This window comes from Homo sapiens, chromosome 10, assembly GCF_000001405.40.
Source record: "Homo sapiens chromosome 10, GRCh38.p14 Primary Assembly".
Taxonomy (NCBI): domain Eukaryota; kingdom Metazoa; phylum Chordata; class Mammalia; order Primates; family Hominidae; genus Homo; species Homo sapiens.
The window spans coordinates 17609750-17636007 of record NC_000010.11 but is presented as its reverse complement, the minus strand read 5'-3'; the positions used below and the strand labels follow the sequence as shown (position 1 = coordinate 17636007).

The 26258-nt window shown below is 44.3% G+C and overlaps 1 protein-coding gene across 2 annotated transcripts in view, besides 2 other annotated features; it reads left to right on the top strand.

The window, feature by feature from the left end:
• Positions 12934 to 13156: a silencer, noted in NCBI's record as "fragment chr10:17664851-17665073 (GRCh37/hg19 assembly coordinates)". NCBI's record gives its function as "represses an EF-1alpha promoter that drives an FKBP-Casp9 reporter gene in an ReSE screen in K562 erythroleukemia cells {active_cell/tissue: K562}" and the evidence as "EXISTENCE:reporter gene assay evidence [ECO:0000049][PMID:32094911]".
• Positions 18434 to 19093: a silencer, noted in NCBI's record as "silent region_2183". NCBI's record gives its function as "represses an Ori minimal core promoter by ATAC-STARR-seq in GM12878 lymphoblastoid cells {active_cell/tissue: GM12878}" and the evidence as "EXISTENCE:reporter gene assay evidence [ECO:0000049][PMID:35858748]".
• Positions 18634 to 26258, top strand: part of HACD1 (3-hydroxyacyl-CoA dehydratase 1) — a 28343-nt gene continuing 20718 nt past the window's right edge. For both annotated transcript variants that reach the window (XM_005252641.5, NM_014241.4), the window contains exon 1: positions 18634 to 18925. In XM_005252641.5, coding sequence (XP_005252698.1) covers positions 18669 to 18925 — 257 coding nt within the window. In that variant the 5' untranslated portion in view covers positions 18634 to 18668. The remainder of the gene's footprint in view (positions 18926 to 26258) is intronic.

Below are 26258 nucleotides of genomic sequence, written 5' to 3'. Positions count from 1 at the left end.
CTTCTTTCTCATTTTAAAATATATTTAAAAACAAAAATAATTGTATTATGGGGTTTATAGCATAGGCAAAAGTAAAATATATCAAAATAATATCACAAAAGATAGGAGAAGACAAATAGAAATATAATACTGGAAGAGTTCTTACATTATACATGCAATGGTATAAATATTATTTGAAAGTAGACTATGATAAGTTAAAAATGCATACTCTAACCTTTAGAGCAATACCCCCCAAAAGAAAATCAAACAAAAGGATATAGAGAGACAATGGTGGAAATATATAAAAATTTTTAAATTCACATAATTCAAAAAAAGGCAGCAAATGAGGACAAGAAGAAAAAAGAACAGAATAGACAAATAGAAAACAAAAGTAAGAAGATAGATTTTGACCTAGTCATTAATAATCATATTAAATACAAAAGATCTAAACTGCAATTAAAGGGCAGGAATTGTCAGTCTATTTTTTAAAAACAAGACCCAACTGTATGATGTGTATAAGAAAGTTATTTTAAAAATAAAAACATAGAGAATATAACAATTTTATACATTTTTGCATATAATAACAGAGCTTCAAAGTACATGAAACAAAATGATGAATTTTGAGGAAAAATAAACAACTACATCATATAGTTGAAATTTTAACTTCCCTGTCTCAATATTGACAGGACAAGTAGGGGAAAATCAGTAAGGCTATAAAGACTCGAACAGTACTAACAACAAGCTTGATTTAATGGAACTTGTTAGAATACTACATCCAATAAAGGCTGCATATACATTATTTTCCAGTGTACATGAGGTATTTATCAAGACAGATCATAGTCTGGGATATAAAACAAATCTCAATAAATCTAAAAACATTCAAGTCATACAAAGTATGTTCTCTGTCTAAAATGGAGTTAAATTAAAAGTATGTAGCAAGAGGCTAGTTGAAAGTCTCCAAATATTGGAAACAAATTAACATACTAATTAACATTTGGAAACTAAATAACTAATTTACTAATCCAGGGTCAAAGAGAAATAAAAATGAAAATTGAAAAGTATTTTAAATAGAATACAAATGAAAACACAGCATAACAAAATTTGTGGAAAGCAAGTAAAGCAGTATTTACAGAGATATTTATAGTATAAATTAGCACTTATGTTAGAAAAGAAGAAAAGTCTCAAATCAATGATCTCAGCTTTTACCTTAAAAAAATAGAAAAAGTAGCAAATGAAACCCAAAGTACACAGAAGAAAGGCAGTAATAAACATCAGAATGGAAATCAATGAGAAATAAGACACAAATAGAGAAAATAAAAGAAACTAAAGCCAGTTTTTTGGGGAGGTTAATAAATTGATAAAACTATAACCAGACTAATTAGGGGGGAAAAAAAGAAAAGTCACAAACTGTCAACTTGCAAAATGAGAGAAGTGGCATCACTACAGATGCTATAGATGTTAACAGGATAATAAGAAAATATTATGACCAATTTTAGACCCATAAACTGGACAACACGGAGGAAATGGCAAATCCCTTCAGTGGCATGAACTAATAAAGCTCACTGAAGAAATATTTATTTATTTGTATGGTTTTTTTTTTTGTAGAGATGGGGTCTCGCTATGTTGCCCAGGCTGGTCTCAAACTCCTGGCCTCAAACGATTCTCTTTCCTTGGCCTCCCAAAGTCCTGGGATTATGGGCGTGAGCCACCGTGCCCAGCCCCAAGAAATATTTAATGTGAAAAGCTCTATTTGAATTTCTTGTTAAAAATTTTCAACAAAGTTAACACCAGGCCTAGATGGCTTCACTGGAAATTTTTAAAAGAGATAGGGTATTTTGGGGAGGGGGAAAGGGTGGGAAGGGGTGATGCTCTATCTTCATTATTTTGACTGTAGTAATGCTTTCGTTACTACATTTTCGACATATATTGGTATATATGCCAATATTTATTTTTAAATATGCACGGATTCTGTATTTGAATTACACCTAAATAAAGCTGTTAAAATTCCCAGAAATTATATCCTTTGCAACTGTTTAGGGTTATGATTTAAAAAAAAAACTGTAGATCACTTAAAAATATGAGAGAAGGTATATGTTTCAAAAAAGCAAAAATGTTTGAAAACCACAGCCTCAGTCAGACCCTTTCCCAGCAGCTAGACTGCAGGCCTGTCCCCAACCCTGTCGCTCTTTTGCTCCTAATGGATATTCTGGAACAGCTGCTCTATCATAGTCTGACGTCTCTTATTTGGAGAAGTTTGAACCAATCTATATAATGTCAGGGTCTATAAATAACCTTTTCATAACAAATAATAGTATGATATAAACTCATCCAATTCACCATAATTCAATTTATGACTTCTTCCACTTTTGCCTTTCACTATTATAAAGATCATGTCTTTTTCTTTTATGAACACCTAGTAACTACCACAGACCAGGTAACTAGATTAGCAACACTTACCAGCTAGTCTGGGATGATGTTGATTCTGCTGACTCAGCAGCTGATACATTGTAAGGATCTTTGAAACTGAAGACCTCACAAAGGAATCTATTCCTTCCCATCATTTACCGTTCAAAGATTTTTCAGAATAGATGACTCCAGCTTTGAAGGCAATTCAACATTTAGCACAATGAAAAATGCATATGCTTACTCTATATGCATATACATATTTACAAAATGAAATTTACATATTTACAAAGGGAAAAAAGTTATTTTCATTCTAAAATTCCCTGGACTATATCTGTGCCAATGTAGAAAATATTCCCCAAAGGAGCGTTTAAAATACTACTTTTTATACTGTTTTTAGTCTTACATAATTAATATTCAAAATCGCATATGCGTCTGTTTTGTTTTATTTTCATAATCAATTTTGTAAGGTATGAAATTGTTCTTTAAGAATGAAGTTCTTATTTACAATAATATACCTACAGAACAGAAGGATTTTACTTACAAAGTCTTGACTTTCAACTGTCAGCCTAGAACCAAATTTGCACGATTGATTCCGTTCTAAAGGAGATTATAGATAAGCTCTAAAGGAACTTCCTTGTCTCTCAGTTTTCACATCAATACAAAAAAATAAGGAGATTGGGTTAAATGAATTCCAATATTCCTTCCAAACCACAATGCTCAACTTATCATTCCCAGATCAGTCCTCTGTGTTCATAGGTTTCTTGCTCTTCATGTTTCAGTTCTCGTTCCCTTTCTTTGTATTTGTTTCCACTACAGCTCACTTCTGCTACTTTTTTTTTTTTTTAATTTGAGACTCAGTCTTGCTCTATTGCCCAGGCTGGAGTGCAGTAGCACAATCTCGGCTCACTGCAATCTCTGCCTCCCGGTTTCAAGCAATTCTCCTGCCTCGGCCTCCTGAGCAGCTGGGACTACAGGCGCCCGCCACCATGCCTGGCTAATTTTTGTGTTTTTAGTAGAGACGGGGTTTCGCCATATAGGCCAGGCTGGGCTCGAACTCTTGACCTCAAATGATCCACCCACCTCGGCCTCACAAAGTGCTGGGATTACAGGCGTGAGCCACCACGCCTGGCCTTCTGCTACATTTCACAAGTGTTCTCCCAAATGCACCAGCTTTCTTCCTCACATTCCTTCCTATTGCGATGCCTACAAATAGAAAAACTGGTGAAATTTTAAAGTGTTTTTTTTCCTCTGAAATTAATGCTATCACTTCTCTGAAATTAATGCTATCACTTCTCTCTAGTGGTATCATTGCTCTCATCCTGTTGTAGTAACCACACCATGCCTAGTCAAATTCTATCATGATGTGCTAAGAACATACACATTACAGATTACTAACATCATTAACCCTGTCACTGTCACAAACACAAATCATGACTTGATTTCAAGATTTGTTATAAAGCGGCTGACTCTCTGTTTGGACTCAGCCCACCTGCACCCAGGTGAAATAAACAGCCATGTTGCTCACACAAAGCCTGTTTGGTGGTCTCTTCACACGGACGCACATGAAATTTGGTGTCGTGACTCGGATCGGGGGACCTCCCTTGGGAGATCAATCCCCTGTCCTCCTGCTCTTTGCTCTGTGAGAAAGATCCACCTACGACCTCAGGTCCTCAGACCGACCAGCCCAAGAAACATCTCACCAATTTCAAATCCAGTAAGCGGCCTCTTTTTACTCTCTTCTCCAACTTCCCTCACTATCCCTCAACCTCTTTCTCCTTTCAATCTTGGCGCTACACTTCAATCTCTCCCTTCTCTTAATTTCAATTCCTTTCATTTTCTGGTAGAGACAAAAGAGACACGTTTTATCCGTGGACCCAAAACTCCGGCGCCGGTCACGGACTGGGAAGGCAGCCTTCCCTTGGTGTTTAATCATTGCAGGGACGCCTCTGTGATTATACACCCACGTTTCAAGGGTGTCAGACCACGCAGGGACACCTGCCTTGGTCCTTCACCCTTAGCGGCAAGTCCTGCTTTTCTGGGGAAGGGGCAAGTACCCCAACCCCTTCTCTCCTTGTCTCTACCCCTTCTCTGCCTTTCCTGGGGCAGGGGCAAGTACCCCTCAACCCCTTCTCCTTCACCCTTAGAGGCAAGTCCCGCTTTCCTAGGGGCAAGAACCTCCCAATCGCTTATTTCCGCACCCCAACCTCTTATCTCTGTGCCCCAATCCCTTATTTCCGTGCCCCAACCCTTTCTCTGCTTTTCTGGAGGGCAAGAACTCCCCACCCCTTCTCCATGTCTCTACTCTTTTCTCTGGGCTTGCCTCCTTCACTATGGGTAGGCTTCCACCTTCCATTCCTCCTTGTTCTCCCTTAGCCTGTGTTCTCAAAAACTTAAAACCTCTTCAACTCACACCTGACCTAAAACCTAAATGCCTTATTTTCTTCTGCAATGCCGCTTGACCCCAATACAAACTCGACAGTAGTTCCAAATAGCTGGAAAACGGCGCTTTCAATTTTTCCATCCTACAAGATCTAAATAATTCTTGTCGTAAAATGGGCAAATGGTCTGAGGTGCCTGACGTCCAGGCATTCTTTTACACATCAGTCCCTTCCTAGTCTCTGTGCCCCGTGCAACTCGTCCCAAATCTTCCTTCTTTCCCTCCCTCCTGTCCCCTCAGTCCCAACCCCAAGCGGCGCTGAGTCTTTCTAATCTTCCTCTTCTACAGACCCATCTGACCTCTCCCCTCCGCGCCAGCCCAAGCTAGGTCCCAATTCTTCCTCAGCCTCCGCGCCTCCCCCCCCTTCATCCCACACCTGGTCCGACTTACAGTTTCATTCTGTGACTAGCCCTCCCCCACCTGCCCAGCAATTTACTCTTAAAAAGGTGGCTGGAGCCAAAGGCATAGTCAGGGTTAATGCTCCTTTTTCTTTATCCCAAATCACATAGCGTTTAGGCTCTTTTTCATCAAATATAAAAACCCAGCCCAGTTCATGGCTCGTTCGGCAGCAACCCTGAGACGCTTTACAGCCCTAGACCCTAAAAGGTCAAAAGGCCATCTTATTCTCAATATACATTTTATTACCCGATCTGCTCCCGACATTAAATAAAACTCCAAAAATTAAATTCCGGCCCTCAAACCCCACAACAGGATTTAATTAACCTTGCCTTCAAGGTGTACAATAATAGAAAAAAGTTGCAATTCCTTGGCTCCACTGTGAGACAAACCCCAGCCACATCTCCAGCATACAAGAACTTCCAAATGCCTGAACCGCAGCGGCTAGGCGTTCTTCTAGAACCTCCTCCCCCAGGAGCTTGCTACAAGTGCCAGAAATCTGACCACCAGGGCAAGGAATGCCTGCAGCCCAGGATTCCTCCTAAGCCGTGTCCCATCTGTGCGGGACCCTACTGGAAATTAGACTGTTCAACTCACCTGGCAGCCACTCCCCGAGCCCCTGCAACTCTGGCCCAAGGCTCTCTGACTGACTCCTTCTCGGCTTAGCGGCTGAAGACTGATGCTGCCCGATCGCCTCGGAAGCCCCATAGGCCATCACGGACGCCGAGCTTTGAGTAACTCTCAGAGTGGAAGCTGCAGAGTGACCCGGTTTTATAGATAAAGGGTGCCAGTCTGCCGAATGCCTGCGATTGCAGGCACGCGCCGCCACGCCTGACTGGTTTTGGTGGAAACGGGGTTTCGCTGTGTTGGCCGGGCCGGTCTCCAGCCCCTAACCGCGAGTGATCCGCCAACCTCGAGGTGCCGGGATTGCAGACGGAGTCTCGTTCACTCAGTGCTCAATGGTGCCCAGGCTGGAGTGCAGTGGCGTGATCTCGGCTCACTACAACCTACACCTCCCAGCCGCCTGCCTTGGCCTCCCAAAGTGCCGAGATTGCAGCCTCTGCCCGGCCGCCACACCGTCTGGGAAGTGAGGAGTGTCTCTGCCTGGCCGCCCATCGTCTGGGATGTGAGGAGCCCCTCTGCCTGGCTGCCCAGTCTGGAAAGTGAGGAGCGTCTCCGCCCGGCCGCCATCCCATCTAGGAAGTGAGGAGCGCCTCTTCCCAGCCGCCATCACATCTAGGAAGTGAGGAGCGTCTCTGCCCCGCCGCCCATCGTCTGAGATGTGGGGAGCGCCTCTGCCCCGCCGCCCCATCAGGGATGTGAGGAGCGCCTCTGCCCGGCCGAGACCCCGTCTGGGAGGTGAGGAGCGTCTCTGCCCGGCTGCCCCGTCTGAGAAGTGAGGAGCCCCTCCGCCCGGCAGCTGCCCCGTCTGAGAAGTGAGGAGCCTCTCCGCCCAGCAGCCACCCCATCTGGGAAGTGAGGAGCATCTCCGCCGGGCAGCCACCCCGTCCGGGAGGGAGGTGGGGGGGGGGTCAGCCCCCCGCCCGGCCAGCCGCCCCATCCGGGAGGGAGGTGGGGGGTCAGCCCCCCCGCCCGGCCAGCCGTGCCGTCCGGGAGGGAGGTGGGGGGGTCAGCCCCCCGCCCGGCCAGCCGCCCCGTCCGGGAGGTGAGGGGCGCCTCTGCCCGGCCGCCCCTACTGGGAAGTGAGGAGCCCCTCTGCCCAGCCAGCCGCCCCGTCCGGGAGGGAGGTGGGGGGGTCAGCCCCCCGCCCGGCCAGCCGCCCCGTCCGGGAGGGAGGTGGGGGGGTCAGCCCCCCTGCCCGGCCAGCCGCCCCGTCCGGGAGGTGAGGGGCGCCTCTGCCCGGCCGCCCCTACTGGGAAGTGAGGAGCCCCTCTGCCCGGCCACCATCCCGTCTGGGAGGTGTGCCCAACAGCTCATTGAGAACGGGCCAGGATGACAATGGCGGCTTTGTGGAATAGAAAGGCGGGAAAGGTGGGGAAAAGATTGAGAAATCGGATGGTTGCCGTGTCTGTGTAGAAAGAAGTAGACATGGGAGACTTTTCATTTTGTTCTGCACTAAGAAAAATTCCTCTGCCTTGGGATCCTGTTGATCTGTGACCTTACCCCCAACCCTCTCTCTGAAACATGTGCTGTGTCCACTCAGAGTTAAATGGATTAAGGGCGGTGCAAGATGTGCTTTGTTAAACAGATGCTTGAAGGCAGCATGCTCGTTAAGAGTCATCAACAATCCCTAATCTCAAGTAATCAGGGACACAAACACTGCGGAAGGCCGCAGGGTCCTCTGCCTAGGAAAACCAGAGACCTTTGTTCACTTGTTTATCTGCTGACCTTCCCTCCACTATTGTCCCATGACCCTGCCAAATCCCCCTCTGTGAGAAACACCCAAGAATTATCAATAAAATAATAAATTAAAAAAAAAAAAAAGATTTGTTATAAAGCTATGGCAATCAAGACAACATGGTACTGGCATAAAGACAGACAAGAAGATCAGTAGAACAGAATAGACCTAACAGAAATATATTCATACGTAAATGGACAACTGATTTTTGACAAGGTAAAGAAGCAATTCAGCAGAGAAAAGATAGGTTTTCAACAAATGGCCCTGGAACACTTGGATATTTATAAGCAAAAATATGAACCTCATTTCATACCTTGTATCATATACAAAAATTAACTCAAAATGGATCATAGACCCAAATAAAAACCTCAAATATTAAATTTCCAGAAGAAAATAGTACAAAACCTTTGTTACCTTGGGTTAGGCAATAATTTCCTAGATATAACAATACAAACTCAATCCTTCAAAGAAAAAAATTGACAAACAGAACTTCATCGAAATTAATAACTTCTGCCCTGTGAAAAGTACTGTCAAGAAAATTCTCCCACTGGCTCATGCCTGGAATCACAGCACTTTAGTGGGAGGATTGCTTGAGCTCAGGAATTCAAGACTGGCCTGGGCAACACAGTGAGACTCTGTTTCTAAAAAAATAAATAAATAAAAATTCTCCCATGAACTGGGAAAAAATATTTGCAAATCATATATCTGATAAAAGATTTTTACCTAGAAAATATATAGTAGTCTCAAAACTTAATAATTAAAGAAAGCAATTAATACACCACAAAATTCAGCAACAGGCAGAGTTGTGGTGGCTCACTCCTGTAAATCCCAGCGCTTTGGGAGGCCAAGGTGGGCAGATCACGAAGTCAGGAGTTCGAGACCAGCCTGGCCAACATGGCGAAACCCCATCTCCACTAAAAATACAAAAAAATTAGCCAGGTGTCGTAGCAGGCACCTGTAATCCCAGCTATTTGGGAGGCTGAGACAGGATAATCGCTTGAACCTGGGAGGCAGAGGTTGCAGTGAGCCGAGACCACACCACTGCACTCCAGCCTGAGCAACACAGCGAGACACTGTCTCAAAAAAAAAAATTAGCTGGGTATGGTAGCTTGCACCTGTAATCCCAGCTACTTGGGAGGCTGAGAGAGGAGAATCGCTTGAACCCGGGAGGCAGAGGTTGCAGTGAGCGGAGACCACACCATTGCACTCCAGCCTGGGCAACAGAGCGAGACTCTGTCTCAAAAAAAAAAAAAATTAGCTGGGTATGGTGGCTTGCACCTGTAATCCCAGCTACTTGGGAGGCTGAGACACGAGAATCACTTGAACCCGGGAGATGGAACTGAGATCGTGCCACTGCACGCCAGCCTGGGTGACAGAGTGAGACCCTGTCTAAAAAAAAAAAAAAAAGAAAGAAAAAAAAATTGGGCAGATTTGAACAGTAACTATACCAAGGAAAATATACAACTGACAAATAAGCACATGAAAAGCAACAGCATAATTAGTCATTAGGGAAGTGAAAATTAAAACCACAATGAAATAATACACCTATTAGAATGTCTAAAATTTCGAAGACTGACTACACCAAGTGTTGACTAGGATGTGGAGCAACTGAAACTCTCCTACACAGCTGATGGGAATGTAAAATGGTGCAACCACTTTAGAAAAACTGGAAAAATTTGAGAAGTGCATGTATGTGCTAGCTGTTTCCTTTCACCTCTTACTCTTAAGGGCAAGATGGGTCTCCAGCAGCTATACTAGAGCCACCTGTGAAACTGGCCAGGGTTCTTGCTCAAACCAGCATGATGTGATCCAAAAATACAGCTTCAATATGTTCCCCAGTATGCAAAGGATATAGGTTTCATTAAGTTGTACTAAGGGAACTTCCTTGAATGGATTATCCAGGTCATCCATCCCATGAAAGAAACCATGCTAACTCTTTGTGCAAAAAGTAAAAAATTTGTAAATCTCTTTAAAAAATTAGAAAACAGGCCAGGTGCGGTGGCTCATGCCTGTAATCCCAGCACTTTGGGAGGCCGAGGCAGGTGAATCACGAGGTCAGGAGATCGAGACCATCCTGGCTAACATGGCGAAACACCATCTCTACTAAAAATACAAAAAATTAGCCAGGCATGGTTGACGGCGCCTGTAATCCCAGCTACTCGGGAGGCTGAGGCAGAAGAATGGGTGAACCTGGAAGGCGGAGCTTGCAGTGAGCAGAGATCGCACCACTGCACTCCAGCCTGGATGACAGAGCGAGACTCCGTCTCAAAAAAAAAAAAAGTTAGAAAACAGTGTGGTTTCTTAAAAAGTTAGGCATACACTTACTATGTTACTCAGTCGTTCTGTGTTTCAGTATTTACCTAAAAGAAATGAAGGCGTATCTTTTTTTTTTTTTTTAAGATAGGGTATTGCTATGTTGCCCAGCCTGGCCTCAAATTCCTGGCCTCAAGCTATCCTCTAACCCTGGCCTCTCAAAGTGCTGGGACTATATGCATGAGCCACTATGCCCAGCTTGAAAGCATATCTTTATATAGGCTGGTACACAAATGTTCATGGATCCTTTATTTGTAACTGGAAAAAAACCCAAATGCTTTTGGTGAATGAATGGATAAACAAATTGTAGGATATCCATACGATGGAATAACTGCTCAGCAATAAAACAAAATAAACTGTTAATCTATGCACACATATGGATGAATCTCTATTTCAGGATCAGCAATATAATGTGTGGGGCCCAGTGCAAAAGGAAAATGTAGGTCTTCTTGTTCACAAAGCATTAAGAACTTCAAAAACAAAGACAGTGGAGCATTCAAAAAACCAGGGAGGCTTTCTCTTTTTTTTTTTCCTGAGACAGAGTCTCACTCTCTCACCCAGTCTGGAGTGCAGTGGTGCTATCTCGGCTCACTGCAAGCTCCACCTCCTGGGTTGAAGGGATTCTCCTGCCTCAGCCTCCCATGTAGCTGGGACTACAGGCGTGTGCCACCACACCCGGCTAATTTTTTGTATTTTTAGTAGAGACGGGATTTCATCGTGTTAGCCAGGATGGTCTCGATTTCCTGACCTCGTGATCTTCCTGCCTTGGCCTCCCAAAGTGCTGGGATTACAGTCATGAGGCACTGTGCCCAGCCCAAACAAGCACAGAGCCCTTGTCAGTGCAAGACTCTATGGACTACACAGATCACATGCCCATGGGCCAGCCAAGGACCAGCTCAGAGTAATTACCCCAAGTGAACAAAAAAACAAAGTCAACAAAGAGTACGTCTTGTATGATTCTATTTATACAACCTTCTTGCAAATGCAAACTACTCTGCAGTGATAGAAAGCAGATGAGTGGTTGCCAGGGGAGGAGGTGGGGATTACAAAAGGGCAGGAGGACACTTTTCCAGGTGATGGATATGTTCTCTGTCTTGATTGTGGTGAAAGTTTCACAGAGGACACATTCGTCAAAACTTATTAAATGGTATACTTTAAATATATGCAGTTTGTTCTATGTCATTTATAACTCCACAAAGCTGTTCAAAATTGCAAAACACTAATGGGTTTTTGAGAAGGATTTTTAAAAATATAGTTTGTGATCTCTCATATGCATTTCTTCTTCATAGACAAAACATACACAAGTGTAAATTAAGGAAAAGCAGAAAATGATATACAATTAAATGCCAAAAGAAACGATACATTATCACTACAAACTATTGGTATCACTACAAACTATTTGTGTCACTACAAACTGTTGGAAAAGCAGAAAATGATGTACAATGAAATGCCAAAAGAAACGACACATTATCACTACAAACTGTTGGAGAATTTAATGTACATTTAAGTGGTCAGGGAAAGACACTTAAAAGAATTGGGATTTGAAACATCTTTGAAGAATGAATGAGATTTTCAAAACATTCTTGTTTGTATAAGGGAAAACAGCAGCTTGGGGAGCAGTTGGGAAGGGAAAACAACAGGTTAGGGAGGGTGAACAGAAAGGAGATTTGGATTAAAGTCTCTCTAGGTCACTTTTTGGACAGGGAACAGACCTGCCTGGCTGGATCAGAGGATTTCCATGGCATGGACTAGGAGGTAATATTCCATTGGCCTCTATGGGCTTAGGTTATAAAAGAGAGCTCTCAATGCCTTTGTTCTAAAGGCAAGGGCTATTCCTTAGACTGGGAAAATAATATGATGTTTTGAGAAGTAAAATAAAGTTATATATGAGGTGCCATTCCAAACCTTATTTGCCCTCAGGACACCTTACCCTCAGTGGAGCTACCTACCTCAACTTTCTTTTCCCTACCTCAAAATATCTCTATCTCCATTTTCTTTATTCCTGTCTGAGAAAGAAGGATTTTTTTCTCTTTTTGAAATCTAATCCAGCCAGGTGTGGTGGCTCATGCCTGTAATCCTAACACTTTGGGAGGGCGAGGCAGGTGGATCACCTGAGATCAGGAATTTGAGACCAATCTGGCCAACATGGCAAAAACCCATCTCTACTAAAAATACAAAAATTAGCTGGATGTGGTGGTGGGTGCCTGGAATCCCAGCTAATCGGGAGAATCGCTGGACCCATGAGGCAGATGTTGCAGTGAGCCGAGATCATGCCACTGCACTCCAGCCTTGGAGACGAGTGAGACTTCGTGTCAAAAACAAAAACAAAAACAAAACCCTAATCTTTTCATCCATCTTCTTAATCCCTCATCATTCCACTGTCGGAGCCATCTTGCTTCATAAAATAGCCCATTCCAAATAGATAATCAATCTCTCCCTCTTTCATGACACCTTCGGCAAATAAAAAACAACGAATAAAATCTTATTTTCATTCTCTTGTTATCTTAATATATCTCCTTATTCATGTCTTTTGCAGCAACTTGGATGGAGCTGGAGGCCATTATTCTAAGTGAAGCAACCCAGGAATGGAAAACCAAATACCATATATTCTCACTCATCATTGGGAGCTAAGCTATAGGTATGCAAAGGCACACAGAGTGGTGTAGTGAACAGTGGAGACTCAGAAGCAGGGAGGTGGGGAGGGCGTTGAGGGATTAAAAAAAACTACATATTGGGTACAACGTACACTACTCAGGTGACAGGTGCACTAAAATCTCAGACTTCACCACTATATGCTTCATTCATGAAACCAGAAACCACTTGTACCCCAAAAGCTAATTTTATTTTATTTTATTTATTTGTTTATTTATTTTTGAGACGGAGTCTCGCTTGTCTCCCAGTCTCAGCTCACTGCAAGCTCCGCCTTCCGGGTTCACGTCATTCTCCTGCCTCAGCCTCCCGAGTAGCAGGAATTACAGGCCCCCGCCACCACGCCCAGCTAATTTTTTGTATTTTTAGTAGAGACGGGGTTTCAGTGTGTTAGCCAGGATGGTCTCGATCTCCCGACCTCATGATCCGCCCGCCTAGGCCTCCCAAAGTGCTGGGATTACAGGCGTGAGCCACTGCGCCCGGTCCTTTATTTTATTTTTTTAAGATATCTCCTTATTCATCCTGCTCTTCAGCTGAAACTGAAGTTCTCCTCACCATCCACTTTCCAACGACTATTGCCACCCACCCAGTTCTGGTCTTTCTTACTTATCTCCTAGACTACAGCTCTCATTTCTTGCATCCCCTCATACCAATTTATTTGATACACTGCTGCAAAATTAATTGTTTTTTTGAGACAGAGTCTCACTCTGTCACCCAGGCTGGAGTGCAGTGGTGCCATCTCCGCTCATTGCAACCTCTCCTTCCTAGATTCAAGCGATTCTCCCGCCTCAGCCTCCTGAGTAGCTGGGATTATAGGTGCACGCCATCACGCTTCACTAATTTTTGTATTTTTAGTAAAGACGGGGTTTCCCATGTTGGCCAGGCTGGTCTTGAATCCCTGACCTCAGGTGATCTGCCCACCTCAGCCTCCCAAAGTGCTGAGATTATAGGGGTGACCCACAGCGCCCGGCCCAAATTAATCTTTGAGAACAGAGTTTCTTCGCTGTGGTTTTCATACTGAAAATCTTTAGAAGCTCATACTGCCTTTTAAAATAGAGTGGTTCTCCCTGTGTATCTATTTTATCCTTCTTCTCTAATACCTCTAACATTTCGTTAATCTGCACGACTCACTTCTCCTCAAACTTGTTTGTTTTTCCCGCCCCCGTGTTCATGATCAGCTCTCAGCCTGCAATACCCTCTGCGATTTGTTGAAATCATACTTATTCTTTAAGCATTTAAAAGTGATTTCTTGCATGAGTCATTGTCTGATTCTCCAAACAAATTACATTTTTCGACAGCTCTTTAGCTCCCAAAGCACTTTGTAATCCTCTTTCCAAATTTATTATATTCTGCAATTCATAATAGAACACGGGCTTTGGAGTCAGTGGTCCTTCAAAATCACCGCCCATTGGCTGAGAAGCTTGGGCAAGTTTCTTAACTTCTCCAGGCTTCAATGAGCTCATTTGTAAAATGTGGATAGTAATACCTGAAAAGATTGTGTGGATTAAATCAGCTGAAGTGTCTGGCACATGAGAGGTGGCATGTTAATAACATATCTTAGAATATATTAATTTGTATGAAATTCTTATCCATTTTATAACAATTGTTAGCTTCATGAAAACAGGCTCCATGTTTCACTCATTTTGGTATCACCTATTTCTACATAGTACATGGTAAATTCACATTTTATAGGGACGATTTTATAAATCTGTTGAAATATTATTTATTCTTAGGGCATTTAAAAGTTTATTTTTCAAAATGTTATTACATTGAACTTTGTAACATGCATTACTGTTGTGAAAATGAGTTCTATCTTGTGGCAGATTCGATGCTTTAAAGGAATATTTGGTAGGGAAACTATTAACTGCAAAATACGAAGGCATTCTGCCACAACATTTGGGTTTCATGTTAAACATATCAGTATTATAAATTCTACACGTTAAAATATGTAGTGTTCATGGCATTTATAAATCAATTTTAATAATTTATACTCAACGAAATGAATCTATCTTATGTGTTCAGTATGATGAGATTTTTTTTTTTTTTGAGACGAGTCTCTGTTGCCCAGACCAGAGTTCAGCGGCATGATCTCGGCTCACTGCAACCTCTGCCTGCAGGTTCAAGCGATTCTCATCCCTCAGCCTCCCGAATAGCTGGGACTACAGGCGTGCACCACCACGCCTGGCTAATTTTTGTATTTTTAGTAGAGACGGTGTTTCACCATGTTTGCCATGCTGGTCTCGAACTCTTGACTTCAGATGATCTGCCCACCTCAGCCTCCCAAAGTGCTGGTATTACAGGCATGAACCACTGTACCCGGCCGGTATGATGAGTTGCAACAAATATGTAGAGCTGTGTAACCACCACAATCAACATGGTGAACATTCACACTACTACAAAAGCTTTCCTGTATTTATTCTTAGTCTAGTCTCCCTACAGGAATCCCCAACTTCAGGAAACAACCTTTTTTGTTTTCTGTCCGTTTAGATTAGATTTTGCTTTTCTAGAGTTTTATATAAAAGTAATCATATACTATATAATATTTTGTGTCTGGCTTCTTTTGCTCAGCACAAAGTTAATGAGATTCATTCATGTGCCATGTACAATAGTATGTTCCTTTTTATTGCTGAGTAATATTCCATTGTATGAATACACTACAATTTGTTTATTCATTCACACATTGATGGACACATGAGTTATTTTCAGTTTGAATTACTATTACTAAAGCTGCTATGAACATTTGGTTTCAAGACTTAGTGTAGACATATGTTTTTATTTCTCTTGGTTAAATACCAAGAGTGAAATTACTGGATCATATGCTAAGTAAGTGTATATTGATGTAAGAAATTGCCAAATTATATTCCAAAGCAGTATTCTTTTTAGCCTTGTATGAGAATGCCAATCCCTGCTAACATTTTAAAATATTAGCCACTTGAGTGGTTGTGTGGTGCTATCTCATTGTGGGTTTAATTTGCATTTCCCAAATGACTAATAAGATTCAGCACTTTTGCATGTGCTATTGGGCATTTCTTTTTTACTTTTTTTTTTTGAGATGGAGTTTTGCTCTTGTAGCCCAGGCTGGAGTGCAGTGGTGCCATCTCGGCTCACTGCAACCTCCGCCTCCCAGGTTCAAGTGATTCTCCTGCCTCAGACTCCCAAGTAGCTGGGATTACAGGGGCGTGCCACTACGCCCAGCTAATTTTTGTATTTTTAGTAGAGACGGAGTTTTGCCATGTTGACCAAGGTGGTCTCAAACTCCTGACCTCAGGTGATCCGCCTGCCTTAGCCTCCCCAAATGCTGAGATTACAGGCGTGAGCCACAGTGCCTGGCCGGCTATTGGCCATTTCTATATCTTTGTGAAGTGTGTATTCAAATCTTTTGCTCATTTCAAAAAATTGAATTGTTTTATTAAGTTGTAAGCTTTCATTATATGTTCCAGATACAAATTCCTTGTTAGAGACATCTGTCGTGAATATTTTCACTTTTTTAATGTTGTCTTGAAAACACAGATGTTTCCCATTTTGATGAAGTTCAATCTGTCTTTTATTTCCTTTTTATGATTAGTGCTTTTTTCTACCTCCAAAATCTTCACCTTCCCCAAAGTCACAAAGATTGTTCTGTATTTTCTTAGAAATTATGTAATTATAGCTTCATGATTAGGTCTGTCATTCATTTCAACTTAATATTTATCTATGGTGTGAGGTAAGATTTATTTTTTGATATGGGTATCCAGTCATTTCATTTACTGAAAAGATTATATTTTCCACATGGAAATTACCTTAGCTTCTTATAAAAATCAATTGACCACATACATATGGGTCTATCCCTGGACTTGATTCTGTTTCACTGATTTCTATGTCTCACCTTATGTGTACCACAGTGTGTTGAAAACTAGTTTTATAGTAAGTCTTTAAACCAGATGTATATGTGCTCCAACTTTCTTCTTCCTATGTACCTCTGCATGAATTTTATAGTTAGCTTGTCAAGTTAAAAAAAAATCTGCTGGGATTTGGAGAGAATTGACATTTAACAGTATGGAGTCTTCCAATTCATGAACAGGCAACAGCTATTTATTTAGATCTTTCATTTCTCTCAGCAGAGATTTATAGTTTTGAGCAATGATTTATAATTTTCAGTGTATACGTCTCACACATATTTTGTGAAATTTATGCCTATATAGTTCATGTTTTTGGATGCTGATTAACGTTGTATGGTTTATTTTAAATTTCATTTTCCAGTTGTTCCGTGTACACATGTAGAAAAACAATTGATTTTTGTTATGTTGATCTTGTAGTTCCAGGAGGTTTTTTTTTTTTAGGATTCCTCGAGATTCCTGGGATTTTCTAGGAAACACATTGCTCTCATTTGCAAACAGTTTTACTTCTTTCTTCCCTTTATTTTATTTTTATTCTTTTTCGAAAAGAAGTCTCGCTCTGTCACCCAGGCTGGAGTGCAATGGGGCGATCTCAAATCACTGCAACCTGTGCCTCCTGGGTTCAAGCGATTCTCCTGCCTCAACTCCTGAGTAGCTGGGATTACAGGCGCCCGCCACCATGCCCCGCTAATTTTTGTATTTTTAGTAGAGACGGGGTTTCACCATGTTAGTCAGGCTGGCCTCAAACTCCTGACCTCAAGTGATCTGCCTACCTCGGCCTCCCAAAGTGCTAGGATTACAGGGGTGAGCCACCACACCCAGCCTTCCTTTCCTTTTTTTTTTATTTTTTTGAGACAGAGTCTCACTCTGTCGTCCAGGCTGGAGTGCAACGGGCGATCTCTGCTCACGATTTTTAAAAATTATTTCCACTAAGGAAACTGAGGCATGGATAGGTTACGTTGTCCAAGTTCACACAGCTAATAAAATGGGAGGATTCAGGAATTTGGGGGTTGTATTTCAGTAGGTGCAAGGAATTTCAAAAGGTAATGTCATCAGTTAAGGCAGGAACCGGCCACACTTCTTTAGTGATTCTTCAGTTACTTTAGGCCATCTGGATGTATACGTGCAGGTCACAGGGGATATAATGGCTTAGCTTGGGCTCAGAGGCCTGACACTTGGTAAATAGACACACACACAGACACACAGACACACAGACACACACACACACACACACACACGCTCCGGTAAAATTCACACAAGTGAGGCCGGGTGCGGTGGCTCACGCCTGTAATCCCAGCACTTTGGGAAGCCAAGGCGGGTGGATCACTTGAGGCCAGGAGTTCGGGACCAGCCTGGCAAACGTGGTGAAACCGTCTCTACTAAAAATAACAAAAATTAGCCGGGCGTGGTGGTGCATGACTGTAGTTCCAGCTACTCGGGAGGCTGAGGCAGGAGAATCTCTTGAATCAGGGAGGCGGAGGTTGCAGTGAGCCGAGATCACAACACTGCACTCCAGACTGTAAAAAAAAAAAAAAATAAGAAATGAAAAAGGAAAAAAAAATCACTCAAGTGGGACGGTCTTCTCACTGTTGGAAGACCTGTTGGACTCGCTAGTAAACGGGAAACAGGGCGAAATAGGCGTTTCTTCCCCAGAAGCTCTTAAGAATGAATGAATGTTTGGCCCAGCGCTGTGGCTCAGGCTTGTAATCACAGAACTTTGGAAGGCAGAGGTGGGAAGATTGCTTGAGCTCACGAAATTGCAGTGAGCTATGTTCACGTCACTGCCCTCCAGCCTAGGAGACAGACTGAGACCGCATCTCTAAAAAGAAAAGAATGAGTGGCGGGAAGATCCCGCTCCCTGCCTGCGTATTGAGAAACTGCCTTACAAAAGGCCAGGCAGGGCAGAGCCACGCCAAGTTCAGGTGCGTTCCCTGTGTCCCCACTAAATGCACTCGCAGGGTGCGCATCGCCAGGGCGCAAGGCGTCTGGGCGTCTCTCTATGAAGAGGCGCCCGCAGCTAGCGAGGCGGGTGCACTTTCCTCGGGAGCGGAAACTACAGCGCCGCCTGGAAAGCGTGCCGGGGCTCGCGGGTCCTGGATCCCCAGTGCCAGGGCCAGGCGTTCTGGCCCCCGAGTGGCGCGCGCTCCCAAGGGGCGGGGCGGGGCGGGGGCGTGACGGGCGGTGGCCGGGGGCGTCCGCTCCTCCCCCTCGCGGTCGGTAGAGCTGGCTGCGCCGAGCCCCCTGCGCGCTGCACATGGGGCGCCTGACGGAAGCGGCGGCAGCGGGCAGCGGCTCTCGGGCTGCAGGCTGGGCAGGGTCCCCTCCCACGCTCCTGCCGCTGTCTCCCACGTCCCCCAGGTGCGCGGCCACCATGGCGTCCAGCGACGAGGACGGCACCAACGGCGGCGCCTCGGAGGCCGGCGAGGACCGGGAGGCTCCCGGCGAGCGGAGGCGCCTGGGGGTCTTGGCCACCGCCTGGCTCACCTTCTACGACATCGCCATGACCGCGGGGTACGCGCGCCGCGGGGCACCCTCGGGCCCTCCCCGCGCCGCGGTCCGCGGAGGTTCCGGGTTCAGGGGGCGCGGGCCGGGGTGTAAGGGGCGCGGGGGGTGCGGGCAGCGGCCGTGGGGGAAGGGAGCTGTCGCCGCGGCCACCGCCGGGGTTGAATGGAGCGGGCGGGGGGGCCGGGCCCTGCGCGCCTGGCATTGCCTAATACGGTGCACGGCGGGGCGCTGGCCGGAGGTTAAGTATAGAACCGGGCAGGAATGCGGTGCCGGCCCGCGGGGGAGGTGGCTGCTGCCCCGGCGCCGCTGCCTTCGCTGCTGTTGAAGGAGCGCCCAGCCCTGGCCACTCGATGGTCTCGGGAGCGCAGAGCTTCATGCTGCGATCGCTGGGCAGAGTTTTCGCCCCTGTTAATTTCACCGCGACTTTTTTTTTTTTTTTTTTTTAAAGCACAGCACGTCCTAGAGCTTGTCACTTGGGACGATTTTGAAATAACCACCCCACTTATCCCAGCGTGGAGCTCCTGCCCAGCATCTTTATGGCCTCAGGCTCCGTGGCTGATAAGCTGGACCTTGATTTTTGGCTTTGAGTATGACTTTGCAAGTTAAGGTTACACAATGACTGTCGCTCTTCGCAGAGCTCTCAAAGTGACTTTTGTGTCAACTGCTTCTCAAAACCTGTTGGGAAAATGCTTTTCCATTTCTCAATTGCACTGCCTTTTAAAAAAGTTATTTTCCCATTATCACTCGAAGTATTAACTTATGTAAACGCGAGGAAAAGTTTACTATTTTCTTTTTTTCTTTTTATTATTTATTTATTTATTTTGAGACGGAGTCTCGCTCGGTCTTGGCTGGAGTGCAGTGGCGGGATCTCGGCTCACTACAAGCTCCGCCTCCCGGGTTCATGCCTTTCTTCTGCCTCAGCCTCCCGAGTAGCTGGGACTACAGGCGCCCGCCACCACGCCTGGCTAATTTTTTTGTATTTTTAGTAGAGACGGGGTTTCACCATGTTAGCCAGGATGGTCTCCATCTCCTGACCTCATGATCCGCCCGCCTCGGCCTCCCAAAGTGCTGGGATTACAAGCGTGAGCCATCCCGCCCTGACAGTATTTTATTTTATTTTTTAGACGGAGACTCATTCTGTCGCCCAGGCTGGAGTGCATTGGCGCGATCTCCGCTCACTGCCAACCTCAGCCTCCGGAGTTCAAGCGATTCTCCTGCCTCGGCCTCCGGAGTAGCTGGGACTACAAGCGTGGGCCACCACGCCCCATTAATTTTTGTATTTTTGGTAGAGACAGGGTATCACCATGTTGGCCAGGGTGGTCTCGAACTCCTGACCTCAAATGATTCCCCCACTTCGGCCTCCCAATGTGCTGGGATTACAGGTGTGAGCCATCGCACCGGGCCTAATATTTTATTTTAATTTTTTAAAAATAGAGATGGCCTCTCACTGTGTTGGCTAGGCTGGTCTCAAACTCCCGGCCTCAAGCAATCCTCCCACCTCAACCTCCAAAAGTGCTGGGATTACCACTTCCGGCTTAATATTTTAAACTTTCTCCAGGGTTTATAGAAAAATGTGATTGACAAAAATTTAATAAATCTTTACCTATGGTGATTGAGTTTCTATTATGTGCTTAGCATATGATATTGAATGCCAAATACAGTTCATACAAATGTTATTTACTGAGGACTTACTATGCAGGGGACTGTGTTGGTTATTTTAGGTGTATTTTTAGTCCTTTAAAGTCCTGTGAGGGGCACATGATATTACATTATATAGATTAGAAGAGTGAGGCACAGATACTTGCCCAAGATCACAGCCAGCAAGTGTCAGTCAGACATGGGTTTCAACCCGGACTCTCTGACTCCACTGTCCTGCTACTTCATCTTTCTTTCCTCCTAAATTATACTCTTGGAAAGTGAGAAAACTAATGTATTTACAACAATTCAGCAATCACGAAATGATGCTGCCTTTAAATGCATTCGGAACTGAAAGAATTCTCTCACCTCTGTGATAGTCTGGTTAATAAACGTTTCCGGAGCCGGGCGCGGTGGCTCACGCCTGTAATCCCAGCACTTTGGAAGGCCGAGGTGGGCGGATCACGAGGTCAGGAGATCGAGAACATCTTGGCTAACACGGCGAAACCCCGTCTCTACTAAAAATACAAAAAATTAGCCGGGCGCCATGGCGGGCGCCTATAGTCCCAGCTACTCCGGAGGCTGAGGCAGGAGAATGGCGTGAACCCGGGAGAGGGAGCTTGCAGTGAGCCGAGATCGCGCCACTGCACTCCAGCATGGGCGACAGAGTGAGACTCCGTCTCAAAAAATAAAATAAAATAAAATAAAATAAACGTTTCCTTGTTATTTCCTTTTTTTTTCTTTTGTTAAGCCAAGCCCTTGCTCTGTTTTCCAGGCTGGAGTGCAGTGGTGCTTACTACAGCCCCAACCCCGAAGCTCAAAGCAATCCTCCTGCCTCAGCCTCCTGAGTAGCTGGGACTACAGGCGCACACCACCATCCTCAGCTAATTTGAAAATTTTTTTGTAGAGTAGGCCGAGCACGGTGGCTCACGTCTGTAATCCCAGCACTTTGGGAGGCTGAGGCGGGTGGATCGCCTGAGACCAGCCTAGCCAACATGGCAAAACCCCGTCTCTATTAAAAATACAAAAATTAGCCGGGCATGGTGGCACAGGCCTGTAATCTCAGCTGCTTGGAAGGCTGAGGCACGATAATCGCTTGAACCCAGGAGGCTGAGAGATCGTGCCACTGCACTCCAGTCTGCACTCTGTCTCACACAAAAAAATAAAACAATAATAATAATAATTTCTGTAAAGACAGGTTTTTGCTATATTGCCCAGGATGTTCTCAAGTGATCCTCCCACAATGGCTTCCCAAAGTGCTGGGATTACAGGTGTGAGCCACCGTGCCCAGCCAGTGAACATTTTGAAATATCTGCCTTGTGTTAACTGGGTGTCTGTCCTTTCTCTTTTCAGTTGACTCTCTGTCTTGAAAGCCAACTGATATTTCAAAAATGAACATCAATGCATAGCTCCAGTTTAAAGACTTCAGTGACTCCCTGCCACCTCCACCCTGATCTAAGGGATTCAGGCTATCTGCCATTCAAGGCTTTTTGCAATCTGCTCCCGATTCCCCTTTCCAGTCAACTTGCATTTGATATCTCTGACTCACTCGTCCCTCAAAGCACCATGTATTTTCACAGCGCTCTGCTTCTGTGCTCAGGTTTTTCACTTTTGTATAATGTTCTCCTGTTATTCCCATGACTTCTAATCAAATCTACCTCTTTGAAGTTTTCCGGGTCTCCTGCCTTACCTGGTGCAGAATTAAATGCTTTCTCCATTCTGTCCCTCTGACCCTTCCCCGGCAAATCAGGGCTTGTTCTAAACTTGTCTCCTTCTGCCTCTACTGAGAAGTTTCCTTGTCATATTTACAAAAATAAGGGATATTGAAATGGAATAATCTCTGTAACTGACTCTTCAGATGCTTTCTAGAGGCGGTGAGATTTGAAGAAGGAATAAGATTTGCATACATAGAGAGTAGACATTTCAGGTGATATAAATTCTGGAAATAGGCATGATATGCAAGCCTGATGTATTCTCTTGATTGAACTGGAGGGTGCTGTTGGGGAATAGTGGTAAATAAGGTTGAAGAAGTTGTAGTGTTGAAATCGGGACAAGAACTTACACGTTTTATAGGGTGGACAGCAGAAGACTAGTTGAGGCTCTTTTTGTTCATTTAACTTATTTCTCTGTTAACAGAACTTTGGCGTGTTTATTAATTTTTTTGTAATAATTTTCAAAACAAGTGGGGAACAGTGGTATGCACCTGTAATCCCAGCTACTCAGGAGACTGAGGCAGGAGGATTGCTTGAGTCCAGTAGTTTAAGACCAGCCTGGGCAGCAAAGCGAGACCCCATCTCAAAAACAAAACACACACACACACACACACACACACACACACACACACACACACACACACCCCAAATTGCAAAGCAACGGAATAGTATTTAAGAAATATTATAAAATTTTACATAAATGTAAAATACAGCTTGTTATTTTATCAGCCTATCACACACTTTCATTTTCTTTTTATCTTTCATATGAATATTTGACCTCTTCCAAGTTTTTTTGTTTTTGTTTTTGTTTTTTTTTTTTTGAGACGGAGTCTTGCTCTATCACCCAGCTGGAGTGCAGTGGGGAGATCTCGGCTCACTGCAAGTTCCGCCTCCCGGATTCTCGCCATTCTCCTGCCTCAGTCTCCTGAGTAGCTGGGACTACTGGCGCCCGCCACCACGCCCGGCTAATTTTTTTTGGATTTTTAGTAGATACGGGATTTCACCGTGTTGGCCAGGTTGGTCTTGATCTCCTGACATCGTGATCCGCCCGCCTCGCCCTCCCAAAGTGCTGGGATTACAGGCATGAGCCACCGCGCCCGGCCCCCTCTTCCAAGTTTTTACTCAAAACTTCATTCTCAAGGAGGCCTTACCTGGTCATCTTAATTTGAATAGTGAAACACATACTCCTTATCTCCCTTGCCTGTTTATTTTTCTCCATCCCACTTTCTTTCATATGATTGTACAATATATTTTACTTATTCGCAATGCTTATTGTCTGTCATCTCCATTAGAGTGTAAACTCCAAGAAGTACTCAATAAATATTTGAATGAATGAATGAGTGAATGTATTACAGCATTGCTGTTATAATATCTGCTGTATTGTATATTTTTCCATTTTCACTTAATAGTCTGTCAGGTTTTCATCTGTTTTTCATAATTATACTTTTTGACAGTTACATTTGAGTGTATAGAATTAATTATACAATAATGGATTAAATCATGCGCCTAACGACATTTTGCTTTTATTTGTTTCTGTTCAATTCGTGGCTTAGTGTAATAAATTCCTGGAAGAAGAATTACACCTTTAAAGGATGTAAGGATTTTTTAGGGTTTTTTTTTTTTTTTTTTTTTTTTTGAGATGGAGTTTAGCTTTGTTGCCTAGGCTGGCGTCAAACTCCTGGGCTCAAGTGACTTCCTGCATTAGCCTCATGAGTAGCTGGGATTACAGGTGAGTGCTACCATGCCTGGCAGATGTAAGGATTTTTTTTTTTTTCAAGACAGAGTCTCGCTCTGTCACCCAGGCTGGAGTGCAGTGGTGCGATCTCAGCTCACTGCAAGCTCCGCCTCCCGGGTTCATGCCATTCTCCTGCCTCAGCCTCCCGAGTAGCTGGGACTACAGGCACCCCCCACCACGCCTGGCTAATTTTTTTGTATTTTTAGTAGAGACGGGGTTTCACCGTGTTAGCCAGGATGGTCTCGATCTCCTAACCTCGTGATCTGCCTGCCTCGGCCTCCCAAAGTGCTGGGATTATAGGCGTGAGCCACCACACCTGGCCAGATGTAAGGATTTTTATGGCACTTGCTCATAATAGGGAAGTGAGCATTTCTCTCCCTCCCTCTCTCTTTCTTTCTGACAAATACTTTTGTGCCCGTATATATAAATGCATTGTCCTTCAAATACTTTAGGCCCTGTCCTTGAAGCAGGGTAACCTGGGGCATTAATATATAAACAACAATTGCAATAAAATAATGAGATAAGTGCTAAGCAGATGTGTCAGAGGACAGACAGGTAGGGAGAATTAGAGAAAGTTTTCTGTGAGAGATCACAGCATTTAAACTGAGCGGTGAAGGACTTAAGTAGGCATAAGTGGGGAAACAGCATGAGTTAGAGGACAGAGATCTGAAATTGCAAGACATCTGTTGAGGCATCAAGAAGAGGGCTTGGGCCGGGCGCGGTGGCTCATGCCTGTAATCCCAGCACTTGAGGCTGAAGCAGGCGGATCACGAGGTCAGGAGATCGAGACCATCCTGGCTAACACAGTGAAACCCTGTCTCTACTAAAAATACAAAAAATTAGCTGGGTGTGGTGGCGTGCACCTGTAGTCCCAGCTACTCGGGAGACTGAGGCAGGAGAATCTCTTGAACCCGGGAGGCAGAGGTTGCAGTGATCCGAGACCATGCCACTGCACTCCAGCCTGGGCAACAGAGCGAGACTGTCTCAAAAAAAAAAAAAAAAAAAAAGAAGAGGACCTGAAGTGTAGAGTGGGAAATGAAGGCGGACAGGTAGCTTGGGGCATTGCACTGGGCCTCAGATGCTTTGCTAACATGTTTGGATTTTAGTCTGTACACAATACACAAAGGTGTTGTTTAAAGGTTGTGTCTCATTCCTTTGTAGCTGGGTAACCTCAGATAAGCTACTTAACCTCTCTGACTCTTAGTTTTCTCATCTGTAAAGTTGGAACAGCACAACTACTTAGCTAGATTATAAAGGAATAAAGAGATAATGGATATGAAGTTCTTAGCAGGATGCCTGATGCACAGTGGATGTTTACAAATGTTCATTTTTATTCCTAGTGGTTTATTTAAAATTGTACTTTTTTTTTTTTTTGAGACAGAGTCTGGCTCTGGAGTGCAGTAGCACCAGCTCAGCTCACTGCTCAGCCTCCCAGGCTCAAGTGATCCTCCCACCTCAGCCTCCCGAGTAGCTGGGACTACAGTCACGTGCCACCACACCTGGCTAATTTTTAAATTTTTTGTAGAAACAAGGTCTTGCCATGTTGCCCAGGCTGGTCTTGAACTCCTGGGCCCAAGCAATCCACCCACCTTGGCCTCCCAAAATCCTGGGATTACAGGTGTGAGCCACTGCGCCTGGCCTAAAATTGCACTTCTTGCAGAAAGAGAAAGTAAGATATTTTCACAGTATACTTAGTATGATTTAATAGAACAAGAAACCCAAGGTTCATTTCCCAGAATGTTAAGTAAGAGCCATATCTTTTATTGCTGCGTAGAATCTATTTTGTTGCTGAGGACAGATCCGCAAATGGACCTACCACAAATTGTTCATCCATCCATTTGTTGATGGACATTTGGGCTCTCTTCAGTTTTTGCTATTACAAATCAAGCTATAAGCATGCATGTACATGTCTATGTACGAACATATGCTTTTGTTTTGCTTGGGTAAATACCTAGGAGTGGAGGGGCTGGGTCATAGGATAGTTAAGTGTTTAATTTCTTTCGTTCTTTTTTTTTTTTTTTTTTGAGATGGAGTCTCACTGTGCCACCTACGCTGGAGTGCAGTGGTGCATCCTCGGCTCACTGCAACCTCTGCCTGCGGATTCAAACGATTCTCCTGCCTCAGCTTCCTGTGTGGCTGGGACTCCAGGCGTGCACCACCATGCCTGGCTAATTTTTTTTCTATTTTTAGTAGAGACGGGGTTTCACCAGGTTGGCCAGCCTGGTCTCAAACTCCTGACCTCAAATGATCCAACCGC